The sequence below is a fragment of the Homo sapiens genome, chromosome 3 (assembly GCF_000001405.40).
Source record: "Homo sapiens chromosome 3, GRCh38.p14 Primary Assembly".
In the NCBI taxonomy this organism is placed as follows: Eukaryota; Metazoa; Chordata; class Mammalia; order Primates; family Hominidae; genus Homo; species Homo sapiens.
The window spans coordinates 177,813,715-177,832,543 of record NC_000003.12 but is presented as its reverse complement, the minus strand read 5'-3'; the positions used below and the strand labels follow the sequence as shown (position 1 = coordinate 177,832,543).

Below are 18,829 nucleotides of genomic sequence, written 5' to 3'. Positions count from 1 at the left end.
AAGGCTAAAATGTACATCTCCATTCACTATTCGGGCCACAGTTAAATAAATGTCCGAATTCTTAGGGGCAGGGGAGAGGCTACTCAAAACTTTATTCATATAGGTGTGCATTGACTTTTTTAAATTACCAAATCTAAATATCTCTTTCCCACTGCCTTTTAACACTATTTACAAGTGCTTTTGTGGCTAAATTTCTTAAATACCTTCGTCACTCTTCTTAACTGTCCATTTGGAAAGCATCTTCTCCAGCAGCACCAGATATTAGCTAGGCCCTGACCTCCTCCACCTCTCCTGGAAAACAACGTGGCTTCCAGAGTTCAGTAGGGCAAGAGAGGAGATGTTGCTGAGGTTCCTTCCTCCCAACTTCTTACCCTTACACGATCACGATCAGGATCACAGAGAGGATCCCAGAGCACAGGGCTGAGGGTAAGAGTGTGATGGGCCTTGTTTCTGACTGGTCTGCACTTCTCATGCCACCTGTGCCTCTGACTCTAGCAATGCCCCTTTCCTACTGTCATTCCCTACCCTTCTCTGCAGCTATAAGAACTGGTCTCCTTCTAGGGAGGAGAAAGAATGAAGGAAACTGTGGCTTTTTTGGATAAAGGTACAAACTCATTCTGGTGCAGTCTTCTGCATGCCTCCCTTAGCTTTCTTTTTGTAGCACATCTCTCTCACACACACACACACACATGCACACACACAAGCACACACACACAAACAACATACAACCTGAGAACAGAATAGATGTGGCAAATCCATCGGCAGCGCAGGTATCCCAATTACTAAGTCTCTCTTTAACAGAGGATCCAAGGGGTGTAGTGCATGAACAGGTAACTAGCTGGGGACAGAAAATAGAGCCCATCCACACAACCATAGAATCTGAAGGAGGAAGGGAGGTGGACACAGGGAAAATAGCTGGACTTAAAGTCAGGTCATTAGATCGCTCTGTTGTGTGAGTCACTTTCCCTCTGGGCCCTCAACTGTCCCTCTCTGCAAAGCAATAGGATAAGGCTGGATGGCATTTAGGTCTTCTACGAGTTCTAATATGCTCATTCTATGGCTGTAACATAATCTGGGTCACGGCTGCTTCCTGTTTGCCCTCTCATTCAGCCTGGCTGGTCCTGGACCTCGATGCTCCTACTCCCTTTACTGTCCATCCACCCAGCCTAGAACACACACACTGTTAAGATCAAAAGAAGGAGCCTGAAATGGAGACAAGATTACTCTATTTGTCTTAAGCAAATCCTATAACCTCTGTGGGCCTTCATTGCCTTTTCAGTCAAATGATGGCCATCTGAAGGATATTCAGATGGGGTAGTGAGTAAAGGGATCTCTACAAGCCCTTCCAGCTGTTCCAATGTAACTTCCCTAAAGAAGGTTACTTTTATTTGTGTACTTCTTTCAGCAGCTCTCTCCCATACTCAAAAACCTTTGGTGACTCCCCATTTTCATAAATGCCAAACCCAAAAGCCACTGCCTGTCCTTCAGAGCACCTTTTAATCTAGCTGCAGTTTTCTTGCCCAAACTCGTTTCACTCTATACTTATTGCCCGCCATCCCTCACCTCAAACTCACTAGTCCAGCCAGGTTTTTCCACAAACACATGTAACCTCAATCCCAGTTTTTTCCCCACTCCCATGCTGCTTCTTTATTCATGAGCCTGACACATGGTAGGCCCTCAATACAGGTTTGTGGCTTGACTGTTAAAGCATTCTCTCTCCCACATCCAAACCTCATCCCAGTTTCCAAGGAACAGATTAGGCCTTACCCCATCTGTGAGGCTTGCCCTGGTTGCTGTGAATTACATGATCATGCTCTCTAATCTACAGAATTTATGACGTGACACACAATTTAGGACTGACAGTCATGACCTCTTAATCACTGTTGAAAGTGTGGGGAGGGAAATTTACTACCCCTTATGAGTAAACATTCTGAAGACGAGTAACAAGGCTTCTATTTCTTTATAATTACCACATCACCTAATCCCACACTGAATCCTTGAGAGGTACTCAGGAAATATTAGACCGAAAGGCTGGGAGGTGCTCCAAGAACATTTCCTAACCAGGATGAATATCATTCCTATTGTACAATCTCCACTTGGCAAAATGCACATCTTTCAAGAGGAAATTCAAACGCCAGTTCAATGTGGCCTTTTCTCTATCCTGCTAGGCAGAGCTTGCCTTTTCCCTTCTTACAAATGTCTATCTGTACTTCTCTCATTGCTATAACTATTCGTTTATATATCTGTCTCTCCACCTAAACAATAAATTATTTTCCTTGAGGAAAATTTTAAAAAATTTACTTTTGTTATAATTCCATGCTCAGTACCATTCCCATAATATAATAAATGTTTAATAATGTTGAACGAATGTATAGAAAATATGCACATGCCCTCTAGGAAAACAGTGCATTTGTGCTTTATTTTCTCTCTCTCTGAACTTGGTGAAATCAATTTTTGACAAATTGAGATGAAGAACTAATATGAGGCTTGGCATCCACTTTGCAAGTTTATGATCTAAGTTGCATACAGAGTTAAAGGACAGAATTATCCATGGGATTATAATATTTATGACAAGTCTTCTCCACTATGACCTTTAGTAGTCCTGGGTGGCTATGCATGGATACTGCACTGTCTGGCTTTTGAAATCCACATAAAAGAATCATTAAGTATTTAAAAGCCACCATTAAGAAATTAAAAGAGTTAATATGTTAGAAAGTATAAAGATTTTATTTGTTACAATATCTTCTGTGGGGTGGTCCACAGAATGCGGTAAGATATAAATGGGGAGCTACTTTTAACACCACACGTGTACCTCTCATCATCACTATCTACTTTGAACTTTGTTTGTTTGTTTGTTTGTTTGTTTTGAGATGGAGTCTCGCTCAATGTTGCCCAGGCTGGAATGAGGTGGCGTGATCTCGGCTCACTGCAACCTCCACCTCCCACATTGAACCAATTCTCCTGCCTCAGCCTCCCAAGTAGCTGGGATTACAGGCGTATGCCACCTTGCCCAGCTAATTTTTGTATGTTTAGAAGTGACAGAGTTTCACCATGTTGGCCAGGCTGGTCTCAAACTCCCGATCTCAAGTGATCCGCCCACCTTGGCCTCCCAAAGTGTTAGGATTACAGGCACAAGCCACCGCACCCAGCCTCTATTAATTTTTTTAAAGATAGTGTCTCTCTCTGTCACCCAGGCTGGAGTAACAGATCATATAGGTCACTGAAGCCTCAAACTCCTGAGCTCAAGCAGTCCTCCTGCCTCAGCCTCCCAGGAAGCTAGGACTGCAGCTGCGCACCACCATGCCCAGCTAATTTCTGTTGTTGCTTGAGAGAGGGTCTCACTGTATTGCCCAGGCTGGTCTTGAACTGCTAGCGTCACGTGATCCTCTGGCTTCAGCCTCCTGATGAATGTAGTTTATTAATGTATTACTTATATTCTTTCTTTAATGCATATTATTCAAGAGCAGGGATAGTTTGAGACATGTCTCTCTTCTCTGTAGCACCTAACACAATAATTTCTGTGGGTCAGAAACTATTTCAATAAACAATTACTGCATGAATTTATTAAAGACCATATTCCAAGTTCCTGGTTTAATATTCAAGTTTAATGCTTAAGATTCTGGTGAATACTGAAACTGAGCAACATGGCAGAAATTACTCTTATCACAGTATCAATAATGGATGTCCTCTGCCTAAGCAACCAGTTTGTTTTACACAATCATCTTCTTGAATTATATTACCACTCTCATTACCACTTGTAGCAAGCATGGGGGATTCAAGATACAATTTCATATTCAAAACACCATCTCCTTCTTTTCTACCTTTGTTTTCCATTTATCTAACTTTTCCTATTAATTTAAATTTAATATCATTTTACTATATATAATATGCTTCTTTGTAAGCTATCTTAAATTACTTTCAGACCAAACAGGTCCTCATGAACATAAATAAAACAGATCCACAGATATAACAAATATAAATGAATAATAAAATAAAATCTGAAATTTTCTTGATTGAAACTAATTCTTGATTTAAATTATTTTTACATTTGCTATTGATAAATTTCTTTAAATTGTTATTACTGAATCACAACTTTAATCACTCTATAGATTGTTCATAATTTTGCTCATGCTTAAAAGATAACTTTTGCTTTCCATTTAGTCATCTGGCCTTATTACTACACACTTCCAAGTTAGCTAGTGGCTAATGGGGAAAAAAGAGTGAGAAGATGAATAATTGTCTTCAAGACAATCTCTGTATTTTAAGAGCTGTGATATATAATAATATGATCAACACATACAGCACTTACTATGGGCCGGCACTGTACTAAGAACTTATCACCATTGAATCTTAACAACAACCGTAAAAGATGACACTGTCATTATCATTCCATATTAGAGATAAGCAAACTGAGGAACTCAGGCATTTGGTAACTTTCCCAAGATCACACCACAAGTACATGACAGAACCAGCATTGAAACCAAGGCTGGCTGGCTCCAGAGTTGTGCCCCTAACCACTTTGCTACACTGCCTCAACTATGCTGTCTCTTCCGAGTCCTTAACATTGAAATATTAGCTCCCAGCATTGTTCAAGAACTACTGCAAGTAATAAGAGGTAAATGGTGAACAGATGATCAGTTATGCCGCTGCAAGTAAAAGACAATTGCCCCCACAAATCCCACTGTTCTTAAGATGACATTTCCCAGCACTTACCCCTCCTAGCCAAAGCATTAATGGATGACGCTCTAATATAAACTTTGTGGATTTTAAGAAATCCAAATGCTATTTAAGTGAAAGGCATTGTGCAAAGGGGGAATTTTCTTTCACTCTCAGTGGCAAAGTTATTCATTGCCTCCTGCTATTAATGAGTCATCTGTTGCTTCAGTCAGTGCTGCCCAGGGCTTTATTTGCCATCTCTGTGTTTGAGCTTTGAAATGAGGTTATCGATTTATGATCAGTGTAACTCCTGGCTGACTCCTGGATGTTAAGATACAATAATAGAGGGTTTTGTGGAAAATCACCAGCTACACTTGAAGGCCGGATCTACATCTTGTTCATTTTTTTGTCACTCCAGCATCCGGCACATAATAAACACTCAATAAATATATGCTGGACGAGTGACTGGTTTCATAAATTACTCTATGGCTATAGACTTTAAGTTTATAATGGATAAAGACTGTACTTACCATCTTATATAGGGCTAACATTGAACAATACAGACATGATAAAGTGAATGAACTACTTAGAATTTTAAGAAAAATGGAAAGAAGGGTTTATGTGTTGCTGAAGTCATATGCTAGGAGACACATAAAAATAAAAGTTCTGCCAACTACAAAAATTTATTTTAAATCCTATGAATCCTGTTTCATAAGGAACCAGCTACTTCATAATTCATCAACTAGAGATTTAACTTTTGTTATTTCTTCAGTGACATAAAAGGATATTAAGCTTTCTCATATTCCCTATTTTAAATCTCCATCACCTTAAATATATAGTGACTCCCAGGTATAATAGGTATTGGAAAAATAAAAGACAATTATCTGGGAGATTACTTAAAAGATTTCTGTTCTTCTGTTTGACTGTAAAGGGCCAATTATGATGCCATTCACAGGAGATTTCACCATAAAAAGTGTGAATGAGGTGAGGGGAGACAGTCCCAACCAGCCTGGAACGGAAATCCAGGAATACCTGGCTTTGGCTTTAGAAGAAACTGCTGTCCATTATGGTGTTTCTATTCATCTGGTGATTTACATGGTAGATGAGGAATCTTCTAAAAAATTGCAAGATGTATTCCCAGTTGGGGATTAGATCTATGCGGGAACGAATAGGGGACTGGGAATGGCATGGAGAGAAAGCAACCAAGGTGCCAAGAGAATTTGGCTAAATCTCTGTGAGAAAGTGTTCTAGAGAGGACGGAGGTAGGCCTGACAAGCCAGTCTCAACCATAAGGCTGAGCAGGAGGAGCAAGAGGGGTCAGGAACACCAGCTGGTCCTGGTGCTGCCTCAGTGCCCCTGCCCCACGAGTGTCGTAGGCATGAGCTACGCCGTGCTCCCCAGTACCACCGAGGGGTCCACTTAACCGGGTGTAACTGCACAGCCAGGAAGCCCTTCCCTTCTCACTTCCCAAAGGACTGCCAGCTTGTGAGCCGTGAGCACTGAGCGCTTTGAAGCTCAGCTGCGAGGTCAGGTCTGCTCTTCAGCAAGGTGGAGGCTGGGGAAGCAGCAAGGGCACTGGTGAGGGGAGCCCTCAACTGGATCTGTGAAGGCACATAAAGTTACCACTTGGGGCCCACAGAAGCATCAGGGATGAACTTTGCAGGGATAGACATGCCTGTGTGAATGAGCTGAGCTTACAGCCAACAAAATGTTCTTTTATCGACTGCAAAATTCAGGTTTAACTCTAAATGTGAAATCACCTGAGCCCATATGCTGGGGAAATCTAAACACACTCAATTTATAAATTATCCTGTAAGAGAAAATAGAAATAAAATTATAAATTACTGTATATTTTTAGGCCAGGTATGGTGGCTCATGCCTGTAATCCCAGTGCTTTGAGAGTAAAAGTAGAGGGATCACTTGAGGCCAGGAGCTCAAGACCAGCCTGGGCAAAACAGTGAGACCCCATATCTTAAAAGAAAAAAAAAATTAGCTGGGGGTGGTGGCACATGCCTAGAGTCCCAGCTCCTCAGGAGGCTGAGGCAGGAAGATCGCTGGAGCCCAGGAGTTTGAGGCTGCTGTGAGCTGTGATCGTACTGCACTCCAGCCTGGGCGACAGAGCGAGACTCTGTCTCTAAAATAAATAATGAATATTAATAATTTTTTTTTTTTGAGACGGAGTATCTCTCTGTCACCCAGGCTGGAGTGCATTGGTGCAATCTTGGCTCACTGCAACCACCACCTCCCAGGTTCAAGCCATTCTCCTGCCTCAGCCTCCTGAGTAGCTGGGACTACAGGCATGTGCCCCCAGGCCTGGCTAATTTTTTGTATTTTTAGTAGAGATGGGGTTTCACCGTGTTAGCCAGGATGGTCTCGATCTCCTGACCTCGTGATCTCCCCGCCTCGGCCTCCCAAAGTGCTGGGATTACAGGTGTGAGCCACCGTGCCAGGACTAATAAATCTTTTTAAGATATAAATCACTATATGTTTTTGACTGGCATCATGCTTTATGGTTTCGTAAGCTTCTCATTTCTTTCTTACAACCACTCTGGCAAAAACAGTACAGGTATTATCCTCATCTAATAGCTGAGGAAACTGAGGCTCAGAGAGGCCAAGAGATTCGACGTCGATCCTACAGCTCATGTAAGGTGGGGGGCTAGTTGGGGTAAAGTTGAGACTGTCATTCCAATGGGGAAGTGCAGAGATGAACTCCTCCTAGCACAGATCACTCTCCAACGTCAATTGTGATGTTCTTTTCTTCTCTTTTGTTTTTTCTTCTCTTCTCCTTCTCCTATTTCTCCTCCTCCTTCTCTCCCCTGACAGACGCCAGGGATGTCCTGCCAGGAGCATAGTGATTCCTTGGAGGAGAAGATGGAGGAGAGAGATACAGAGGGGGAAGGATGACAAAAGGCAGAGAACAGAACAGGACTGGCAGCAGCGCTCCCCACCTCCTCTCCTCACTCTGTGCTCTTTAAAAACACTCCCTGATTCATTTTCTTTTTAAAATCTCATTTCACCAGAACGTGTAAACACAATTCACCAAATGCAGTCATGTACTTATTGAATAAAGAAAAGCCGTGGCAGCTTTCCTGGGGAAAAAAAAAAAAAAAAAAAAAAACACAGGGCAACAACCCATTCTCTGGCCAGCAGTAACAAGGACTTGGAAGTGTAAGACTTTTCAGTATTAAGTGGGCTTTTGGCATTTTTTCCTGTCCCCCACCCCCCTTTTCAGAATCTATTCCCATGTCTTCTCTATGTTCCTGCAGAAGCCAGTCCACCAAAACAATATACATGGCCTGGCAGGCAGCCTGACAGGCATCACACATGATCTCAGTCTGCCCCCAGCACTCTCACATCAGGGCTGGATGAATCCAGTGAGGGAAATGCCTTCTAGCTGATATTTCTGTCTTAGGAAAAAAACAGAGAAAATGAAGATCGCCAGGACAGATAGGTTGGAAGAGAAAGCTTGGCTCCCAACTACTGCAGTGAAAGGCTTACACTGGGGTCAAGCAGAGTCCTTTTAGTTTCTGAACAATAGAAAATGTTGTCCCCATTCTAGTGCTCCCTGATCAGGCCGAGGCCACCTGCCCCTCCTCCCACAGCGCATGTGATTGCACCCACCCCGTAATAAAGGTCAGAGGAGTTGGTTGCATAAGCCTGATTAAACAGTTTGGACAAGCACCATGAGCTTTGGGGAATGAATCAGAGCTAGCCTTTGCCACTGTTCTTCAGCAAATTCCATTCCTCAGAGATTTATGGAGTGCCTGCTACCTGCAAGGTGCTATACTGTAAATTAAAATTTTAAAGGAATTCTTGCAACCTCGATTGCCTTTGATGGATAACCCCTGGGCAGGTTGAGTTACTCTTGTTATCAAATGATGAACTGAGGCCCAGAGAGGTTCTGTAACAGTGATGAGGTACAGGAGTCTCTGAACCTGTGAGAAGAAATGCGTTGCAGCCCTGGCTTTCAGCAGGCCAGTGTAGGAGCTGTGCAAGTCTTTCAACCACTTAGCCCTCAGTTCTTCAGCTATAAATAGGAGGGTTGGTCGGGTGCAGGGACTCGCACCTGTAATCCCAGCACTTTGCGAGGCCGAGGGGGGCCAATCACCTGAGGCTGGGAGTTCGAGACCAGTCTCGCCAACATGGAGAAACCCTGTCTCTACTAAAAATACAAAATTAGCCGGGCATGATGGTGCATGCCTGTAATCCCAACTACTCGGGGGCTGAGGCAGGAGAATCACTTGAACCTGGGAGGCGGAGGTTGCAGTGAGCCAAGATCATGCCATTGCACTCCAGCCTGGGCAACAAGAGTGAAATTCTATCTCAAAAAGAAAAAAAAAAAGGGAGAGAGAAGAAGGTTGAGCAAATTGTCTCTACAAAGATGTCTTATAGTTTGTTTTTATCTTTTGTAGCTAATATTTATTGAGTACCTATTATGTGAAGTGAGTACCCATTTACACATATTGATATTTTTAACATTCTATGATTTCTAAAGATCCCATATATTTAAAGCAATACTATATAAATTGTATGAGGAAACTTATTTACATAGAAGAAATAAGGGAAAAGTGAGCAGTACTTTCTTTCATTTCTCAACTGGTGTTTCTTTAAGCCAAAATTTTGTCTCACCTCACCCTTCACTTTTAGTTTTATAGGGAATTTGGTGTCTGAGCCAGAACATCAAGACTTGTAGCGTAATTTTTTGTTGTTATTTTTGGTTTTAATGTAAAGAATAGTTGCAGAGAGAAGACAGTTTCGGGTCCATCCTAGGAGTGAGTTATACAAGCTTTCAACAAGTACAAACCAAACATTCACCCTTTTAAAATTCCATTGTAAACAGGCTTTATGATGTATATATTGTTTTCAGCTGTTACTGTGCATGTCTATTGCAGTTTGCATTTGGAAAGTATTTTTATAATTATTTTGCTGACTCTGGTGATAACCTTCTAAATTAAGATTCAGCCTCAGTAATGGATGTTTTGACCCCACTTGCCAAGTCCACAAGCAGGAAATGAGTGAAGACCTCTGGTTGGAAAAGAACCTTTCTGTGTGTTTCTGGCAAGTAAACTGTCATCACATTTAATTGAGATTTGAGAAATGGGTAGCAAAACAGCAGTGAATGATGGCATTTGCAAATTAGTTGAAGCCAAGTGAATTTTTGCCTAGAGTGTTCCGACTGAAAAAATAAATATAAGGAAAATCGATGTTAGCAGAGAGAATCTTTCTTGTTTCCCTACTGATTTTCCATGAAGTAAAGTGCACATATTTGATTCAGCTTAGAAATCACTATCTTTTTTTTTTTTTTTTTGGCCCCCTTTAAGGGAATCTGTAAAATTTCAGATGAGATGTTGTAGTGGAAACAATCTTTGAACTTACTGTACTGATCAAATTAATGACTCAACCTGTATCTTCCCCTACTCAGCCCCTAATATAGATTTTTCTTTTCCAAGGAATGATTTCAAATGTTTCTAAAGAGTGAAAAAAAAGCTTTTCAATTTTCCTCCCTTTCCACTGTGATACGGACTAAATCATCAATATCTATTTCTGCCAGTAATTCACACTCACGGTTATCAATGAGCTTATGCCAAGCTCTGTTCTCAGCACATTCTTGTTGTGCTGTTATAAAATTTAAGTATGTGAGGTCAGTGCAAAAGTAACAAACAGTGAAAGAATGTTACCTAACAAATGCTTTATTCTAAACATAATCATCTATAATATATATGTCTAGAAATCTGTAATAAGACAGTTCTGTCTATCCCCAGTGCAAATGTTTAGATTAGTTAGATTTTTAGAAAATTTGCCATATAGTTAATATTAATCTTTGATTATATTAATATTAATATAGTTAATGTTTGAGAGAACATTTCATATTTTCCAGATAACTCAGTAATGTTTTGGCTTTATAATTACTTTAAATCAGCCATATGGAAAGATGATTAAGAACCTGTTTGTCTTTTCACATTTACATATACATACAGAATATGTATACATATATAAAAGTTAAAATTTTCTCTGATCATTCTCTAGATCAGTAAGTTACAGTAAATATTAAGCTTCACAAAGTAATGGGATTTTTTTCTATATCTAATTTGTTCTCGAGTCCAATGATAAATAAGGAAAGAGATGATAATCCTTGTCATAAAGGACAATTGATCTTTTCTTCTTTCTTTTTTTCTTTTTCTGAGACAGAGTCTCGCTCTGTTGCCCAGGCTGGAGTGCAGTGGTGCGATCTCAGCTCACTGCAAGCTCCGCCTTCCAGGTTCACGCCATTCTCCTGCCTCAGCCTCCCGAGTAGCTGGGACTACAGGCGCCCACCACCACGCCTGGCTAATTGTTTTTTTTGTTTTTGTTTTTGTTTTTGTTTTTGTATTTTTTAGTAGAGGCGGGGTTTCACCATATTAGCCAGGATGGTCTCAATCTCCTGACCTCGTGATCCACCCGCCTCGGCCTCCCAAAGTGCTGGGATTACAGGCGTGAGCCACCACGCCCGGCCTCTTCTTTCTTTCTTTCATCTTTCTAGCTTTCTTTCTTCTTTTCAAGGTCTGTGGCTAGATACTAGAATTTTAGAATCAACATTTCCACTATGATTCTATTTAACTTTCCAGCTTTTACACTGGATAAGTCTCTTTATAAAATCAAAGGTGTTCTCATTTAAAATTAAGTTTATTTCCAATGCTGACATAAAAGGTCTCACAATTTTCATTGCTATTTTCAGCCATGGAGCTGCAATAAACCCTTCTAAGTTTGTGTGCATAACAGGTATGGAATATAGTCATCTCCCCTACCATGAACAAAACAGGAAAAGAAAAAAGGGTTTCAGGAAAAAAAAAAAAAGAAACATGTCTCATTTTTAGAGGTCAAAAGTCATTTTCATCCCCTGAAAATGCTTTGAAAGTGGTCCAGACCTCAAATTACCATAATTTTCACCTACCCCTATGTAAGAAAAGGGAAGTAAAAGCAAAAGGAATCATAAACATCTCGGTGCAGGACGTTCTTACTTTCTGTAGAATCTTTGTGGTTTCCAATCCCTGCATGACTTCCCAGCACTTCTGCATCACTCTTCCCCTTATTCTTCTCTAATATGTTTCACATTGATTTTTTTTTTCAATTCTCTGCTGACTGCACATTCTGAAAATGCTTTGACCTTAAAGTCAAGATCAAGTTTGCATTCCTGGAGTAAACAAGAAAGAAAGATGGAGAAGAGAACTTAAAAGAAAACCATTTGACCAAGAAAAACTATGGAGCAAAATATGTATCCTAAGAAAAGGGAGAAAACAGTGTCTTTCTTCTGAGGTTTCTCTTTTTTTCTAAATTTGGCATTCAAGGTGAAGAATATTAATATAAACTACCAATGAAAGAAGAGAAAATTTTCCTCAAGTACTATTTGTATGGAGACTAGTCTGGCATTAACCATTGCTATCACCATGTAGAATAACAGATCTGTTAGAATGAAACTTCTAACCATACTGTTATACTCAGGTAGTGTACTGGAAAAGCAAGAACCATACATTACGGCTCCAAGAAAAATAGAAACAAATTAATGCTGGAAAAATATGTGTAAAAACCCACAAGTTTGAATAATCTTCTAAAATTGTTTTAGGTTTTATAAAGACTTTATCTCTGTCTCAGGGCCCAGCTACAGTAAACTGACAGTTAACTGCTTAAAAAGAAAGTACATCTTGAAACGTTCATAACTTTTCATTTATAACAAAGGCAGAAAAACAATCACATTTATAAGAAGATATTTTTTCTTTTTATATCCTACTCTGAAGCAAAATTCTGACACAACTAGCAGAAGGTACTTTAAGACTCCAATGTGACACATTAAATGTGGACATCCAATGCAAGATTAACTCAGTTGAGTATCTGGGAGAACTTTGTGGTTTTTGTTTGTTTGTTTGTTTGTTTGTTTTACGAAGTCCCTCCACTGAAATACTGTGTCTTTGCAAAAGCCTTTTCATGATCCAAGTTTTAATTTAATGTGATATTATCCAGGAAGCAGTTTCAGTAATAGGTTTGTGTTCACATGGACAACCTGGTTTGGCTTAGACGTTTGTCATAGAGTATGTGGTAGATCTCTATCCATTGGAAGCATGCTTTTACTTGGATTAGAAACCTACATAGGATATTTGGTGAATAGTATTGGTGCTTACCTGACATTCATTGCCTCTTCTTTCTTTTTTTAATAGAATCTAATTTTGTCCACATATCCATCTTTCCTTCTCATAGTCATGAACCTCAACTCCAGGGGTAGTCTCATTGGAATATAGATTTACTCGTTGGTCTCTATTTCCCTTGCAGTAATTAATTCAGGAATGGACATGTGATCTAACTGTGGACAATGAGACAGGGGGAGAGGCTGTCAGAAAAATTTGAGAAAAAGAGAGAAGCGGCCAGGTGCAGTGGCTCATGCCTGTAATCCCAGCACTTTGGAAGGCCAAGGCGGGAGGATCACTTGAGGTCAGGAGTTCAAGACCAGGCTGGCCAATATGGTGAAACCCCGTCTCTACTAAAATACAAAAAATTAGCCAGGCGTGGCGGCATGTTCCTGTAATCCCAGCTACTTGGGAGGCTGAGGCAGGAGAATTGCTTGAACCCAGTGGGTGGAGGTTGCAGTGAGCTGAGATTGCACCACTGCACTCCAGCCTGGGCGACAGAGAGAGATTCCTTCTCAAAAAAAAAAAAAAAAAAAAAGAGTGAGAGAGAGAAAGAGAAGCCTGAGAAGTGACTCTTTCTTCTCCTGGGTATTATTGCCCATAAGTATACTGCTTAGATCTGGCATAGCCTTCTTGCTACCATTCTAAAGAGGAAACTAGCTCAAAAGATAGCAGAGTGAAGAAATATTTTGTGTAAAAACCTAAATGTCATTGAGTCACAGTATCAACCAGCCATGAGATTCACCCTACGTGAGTCTTAGCTATGGGAGAAGTTACTATTGTCATTTTAGATACTTGGCCTCTGGGATTCTATTCTTTGCAGCCAGTAGCAGGCTAACCAATTTCTCTTGGCTTCCTTCAATTGTATCCACCTTCCTGGCTTAGGCCTTTCAGAAGAAGACAGAGTCCTAAGCCAATGTGTTTACCCTTGATTTTAACTTGAAACTTTCTGCCATTAACATGGGGAACAAGATAAATTTATAGAAATAAAAATAATATGATTTAACAATACCAAAACATTAATATCTGAAATGTATCTTGGAGGGATTGCTTCATGTGCCTGGCAGTGTTGTCAGCGTCAGGCTGCCGAGTAGAGATGTGAACGACAAAGCATTTAAATGATCTGTGTTGTCATTTTTGCAACACGAGCTCACACAGATGATGGTCGATTTAATAAATCAAATTGGACAAAAAAAAATTCAGTCTCTCTCCACAACCTTTCTCAAAACTACCGTCAGAGTTTTCTTCTCCCCTCAACGACCTCTTGGGCAGATCCACGACTTTCTGTTTACTTTCAAGTACTATAGAACTTATTTTCAGGAATCAAAAAACTCTAACCCAATCAGATACCAAAACTTCAATTTATTCTTGAAATCAATGTTTTTCCTCCCCAGCTCAAGTGCATTTGTGTCTTTCTTTGTTGTCAAATGCCCTGTGTAGGACAGATGTTCCAAGAAGTCTTTTTCATGAAGTACCTCTGTTAATTCTTTGGAGACCCTTTCAGGGACTCATACATTTAACATTTCCTGATGCATTCAAAACACTCTCTCGTTAATCTTTTGTAAGAACCTTGACTCCTGTACCAGAAGGTGCTTGGGATTCCTTCATTCCAGCATGCACCCCTCTTGCTGTGAAATGGTGGGAGGCCCTTCAAATAACTTGCACTAACTTGCACAGTGCTACTTGTCCTGCAGGAAAATGAACACATCCTCCCCCATCATGTTCTCAAACTTCAAGCACTGCTGCCTTTTGGCCTCACTCTGTCATGCTGCGCATCTTCAGCCACCTCATACCTGTGATTTCTCCTGCAGAGTCAGGCACCAGGCCCTGTGCTGCCCACATTCAAGCACTGCCTGGCTAAACACTGAAGCCATTAACCACATGTGTCCATTGAACACTTGAAATGTGCCAGTCCAAATTGAGATCTCAAAGCTTTAGTATTAAAACACACACACACACACACACACACGCACACACAGAGCAAGATGTCTCATCACTAATTTTTATATCAACCACGTGATAATATTTTGGATATATTGGCTTAAATAAAATGTATTAGTAAAATTAATCACCCATTTCCTTTCCCTGTTTTTTAAATAGGCTACTAAAAAATAAATTACATGTGTGGCTCACATCATATTTCTATCGGCCTGCACTTCTCTAGAGCCTTGGACACAAAGAATGCCCCCGACCAGAGCACTGGCATCGCCCAGGAGCCTCTTAGTAGCAGAGAGCTTGGACTGGCAGTAGTGCTCAGAATTGTCATTTTAACCAGATCTCTGGGTGAAGTTCTGATGTAGGATAGAGGTACTTATTCTGAGGTCTCAGCACTCATGTTGATTCTTAACAGTCTGTTACCAGTTCATGACAAAATAAGTGCAGGAATTAAGAGTACTGTTCAGAAATTTTTATAGCAATTTGATGTTACAATACAGAGTATGTAACCTCTGAACATTGTTTCCATTTCATTTTTCTAAAAATTCAGTTCTAGTAAATCTATAAACCTGTCACTCCATGATGGACTGGAAATTGAAACAGGTTGGTCCTTTATCACAGAAAGTTTGCAAAGTCCTGCTCTAGAGGGCACCCTTCAAACTCTCTGAGGAAATTTCTCGAACTCTGTAAGATGGCAGTATTCCCCACTAGTGAGCCTCTCTGTCCTCACCACCTTTGCTCCAGAGGGTTTTCTCTCAATTTCCTCTCTTGGATCAAGACGAAGTCACATAGCAGCTTACCCTTCCGTGCCAAAGTGCTCTCTTTTCCTACAATTTTCTTCCCGGCTGTTAAATGTGTTCTTTGGAGTGACAATATTTGATGATTGGCCAACACCTTAACACATCCTGTGGGGAACATGTCTAAGTACCTTTCTTCAGAATGTGCAATGCAATTGTCACAGGTTACCCTCAGTTTTGGACGTTAGCCCAAATTCCAAAGCAATGAGAAAGTTCCCAGTCTGTATCCAATCAAGGCAAAGACTCCCAGCTTCTCTGGGGAACTTATTTTGGGCTCTGGCATTTTCTGTTTTGTCTTTTCCCCCGTCAAAACACTCCTCCAATTTCCCCACATGAGTTGAAGTAGTCTTGGCAATCAATCCTAATTTGAAAGTTTTAACTGGAATAATATGTAATCTTTCTTAAATATTATACTCTAGGCTTCTTCTACATTTTAAGGAAAATCTTGTAGACGTGCCCAACACATTCTATTAAGATATAGATATACATAAGTTAGTGCATATCACGTATTCCTTGTATGGGAATTTAAACCTCTTTTTTAGTCAATTTAATGTCCACAAGCAGTTCACCATTTAATCTTATGGCTTATTTTGTATAAAGAAAGTCTTCTTCATTAAATGAAGAACCGCTTTCTAATTCTCAATTTTAACAACATAATCACAGATTTCCTTGCACCAAATTTATTTAAAGAAAAACACACCTGAGTTTTCAGTTTATACCCACATTAGTATTTTATTAATAGTTTGAATGTTAAGTGGCAACCACATTCCAAAAACCCTGAAAAATTCATAATTTCTTTATGGTTTTTAAGAGCTTTGCTTCTTGCCATGATACTTTCAATAGATTTATAAGTGTAAGCAATTCATTTTTTTTTAAAGAAAGTAATGGATATTTATTGATTTCTTAATATGCACTAGGCACCCTATTATAATGTACTCTTTTGTACTAAATCTACAAAAATGAATAAAACATGTCCTTCCCTTGTGTAACTCAAGAGTCTGGGTGATGAGACAGACTCCTACACAGAAAATACAACACAATATCAGGGGTTATAAGACAGTATTTTGTGCAGGATTCTGTGGGGGTAGAAGGAAGGGGCCCTTAACTCCTAAGGAGATTAGGGAAAAGCTTCCTGGGGAAGATGATGCCTGGAACTAGAACTAGAGGGAATCATAGCAGGTTTTTCAAGTTAAAAAAAAAAAAGTTTGCAAAACATTCAAGGCAGTGGGTACTGCATGATTAAATATTCAAAGGCATGAAACAGTCTAAAAGTTTTAGAGCTAAGTAGGTTAAAATGAGGCCGGAGAACAGAGAGAAACCAGGTGATGGAGACCCTGAATGTTACACCTAGGAGCATGAACGTGACTCAACAGGTGTTGCAGGCTGTGAAAGTGGTTCAAGCTTCTAACGCCATAGTTGCCCATTAGTTTCTCTTCTGGTCTAATTTTGCAATTATTTACATAGAAGATCTTTAATATAAACCTTTGTTGAGTTCAAGGCCACATATAAAAATCAGAGAGAATGATAGCGTCAGTGAAACAAGCAATATATAAAAGAAGCAGGAACACTCTCTAGCTTCCTTCATGAGTAAGAATAATTGCCTTAACTGTTTTTGGCACTAAGTCCGTTTTCATATGGCATTCTATTTTCTAGAGTGACTTTGTGACATAGATTAGGCAGATATCATTTTTTCCACTACAGTTGAGAAAGTTGCCACCAAGAGAGAGAAAGTCAGAACAGTAGTAAATGGCAGAAGAAGAAGATGGAACCAGGTCTTTAAGCTGCAGATGCTTTGCTCTTCTCTTTCACTAGGAAATGGAATCTATGTTAATGAAATTCCTTGCCAAATTTAAGAGGTAATTGTTGATAACGAATGCCATAGGTAACATTACCCTGACACACACGTTTTGTAAATTTGTCTAAACTAAGTTTGCTATGTATATGATACTATTAATAATGATTAAAAACTAATAATTTATTGAGCACCAGAAAGTGACTATTTTTCTTCCTTTGTTAGTGTTTTCTTCTACAAATTTTCTTCTAAGAATGGTTTTAGCTACATCTCACAAATATTGATATTTTGTGCTTTTATTATCATTTAGTTCAAAATATTTTCTGACTTCTCTTATAAGTACTTCTTTGATCTATGGGTTATTTGGAAGTGTGTTGTTAATTTCCAAATATATGAAAGTTTCCTTGAGATCATTTTGTTATTGATTCCTAATTCAGTTATACTGCGGTCAGGGAACATACTCTGTAAGATTTTAGTCTTTTCAAATTGATTGAGATTCCTATTAAGGTCCGGAATATGATCTAGGTGAATAGTCCATGAGTACTGGAAGGAATGTGCACTCTGCAATTATCAGGTACAGTGTTCTGTCAATAGTGATTAGGTTCAGGCAGTTGGTGATGTTCAGATATTCTGTATATATAGTCTTCCTCAATTTTTTGTCTGCTTATTCTGTCAATGAGCAGACAAAATTACTGAGAGATTTCTAGAACATCTAACTGAAATTCTAGATTTATATGTATTTTCCTAAAGTTATGCCAGATTTTTACTTCAGGAATTATGAAGTTCTTTTATTTGATGCCTACACATTTAAGAGTTTTATGCCTTACTGATAAATTGGGCCTTTTATTATTCTGAAAGTATCCTCTTTACCTCTGGTAATGATCTTGGTCTGACAATCCACTTTGTCTGATATTAATATAGCCAGGCCAGCTTTCTTATGTTTACTTTTGGCATGGGTTATCTTTTGCCATACTTTTAGTTTTAGTCCATGCTATTGCCCTTACTTGCAGCACCCACTGGGGATGTAGAGAGTTGGAAAGAGTGCTGCTCCATCTTTAATGCAGAAACAACAGCAACGAAGGACATATGTATCATTTCCAATGCTATTTACTCCATTCCACCGTCCTAATTTCATTTTCTTCAGGTGGAAGAACTTCCCTGAGTACTTCTTACAGCTTAATTCTGCTGGTGACAAATTCTCTCACCTTTTGCTTTGTGAAAATGTCCGGTAATGCGGGTCCACTAAAGATGAATTCTGAATTCTCTCAACTTCTGCTTATGTGAAAATGTCTCCACGGCACCTTTAGATTTTATTTTTATTTTTTAATGACAATAAGGAAATAATACATGTGTCAGGTAATGGATGTGCTAAATACCCTGATTTGATTTTACACAATGTACACATGTATCAAAGAGTCACACTGTACCCCATAAATATGTACAATTTCACCTTTATTTTTGAAGGATATTATATTAGTTTCCCATTGCTACCA

At 39.6% G+C, this 18,829-nt stretch overlaps 1 long non-coding RNA gene across 1 annotated transcript in view, besides 2 other annotated features; it reads right to left on the bottom strand.

Annotated features, from left to right (window-relative positions):
• LINC02015 (long intergenic non-protein coding RNA 2015) overlaps nucleotides 1-15,679 on the bottom strand; it is an 82,360-nt gene extending 66,681 nt beyond the window's left edge. Inside the window, exon 1 of the long non-coding RNA NR_110826.1 lies at nucleotides 15,548-15,679. This is a non-coding gene — a long non-coding RNA (long intergenic non-protein coding RNA 2015). The remainder of the gene's footprint in view (nucleotides 1-15,547) is intronic.
• Nucleotides 5,603-6,103: an enhancer, noted in NCBI's record as "H3K4me1 hESC enhancer chr3:177544229-177544729 (GRCh37/hg19 assembly coordinates)". NCBI's record gives its function as "activates a minimal SCP1, AML or CMV promoter by ChIP-STARR-seq in primed H9 embryonic stem cells {active_cell/tissue: H9 hESC(primed)}" and the evidence as "EXISTENCE:reporter gene assay evidence [ECO:0000049][PMID:30033119]".
• Nucleotides 6,104-6,604: an enhancer, noted in NCBI's record as "H3K4me1 hESC enhancer chr3:177543728-177544228 (GRCh37/hg19 assembly coordinates)". NCBI's record gives its function as "activates a minimal SCP1, AML or CMV promoter by ChIP-STARR-seq in primed H9 embryonic stem cells {active_cell/tissue: H9 hESC(primed)}" and the evidence as "EXISTENCE:reporter gene assay evidence [ECO:0000049][PMID:30033119]".
• Nucleotides 15,680-18,829: the final 3,150 nt, after the last annotated feature.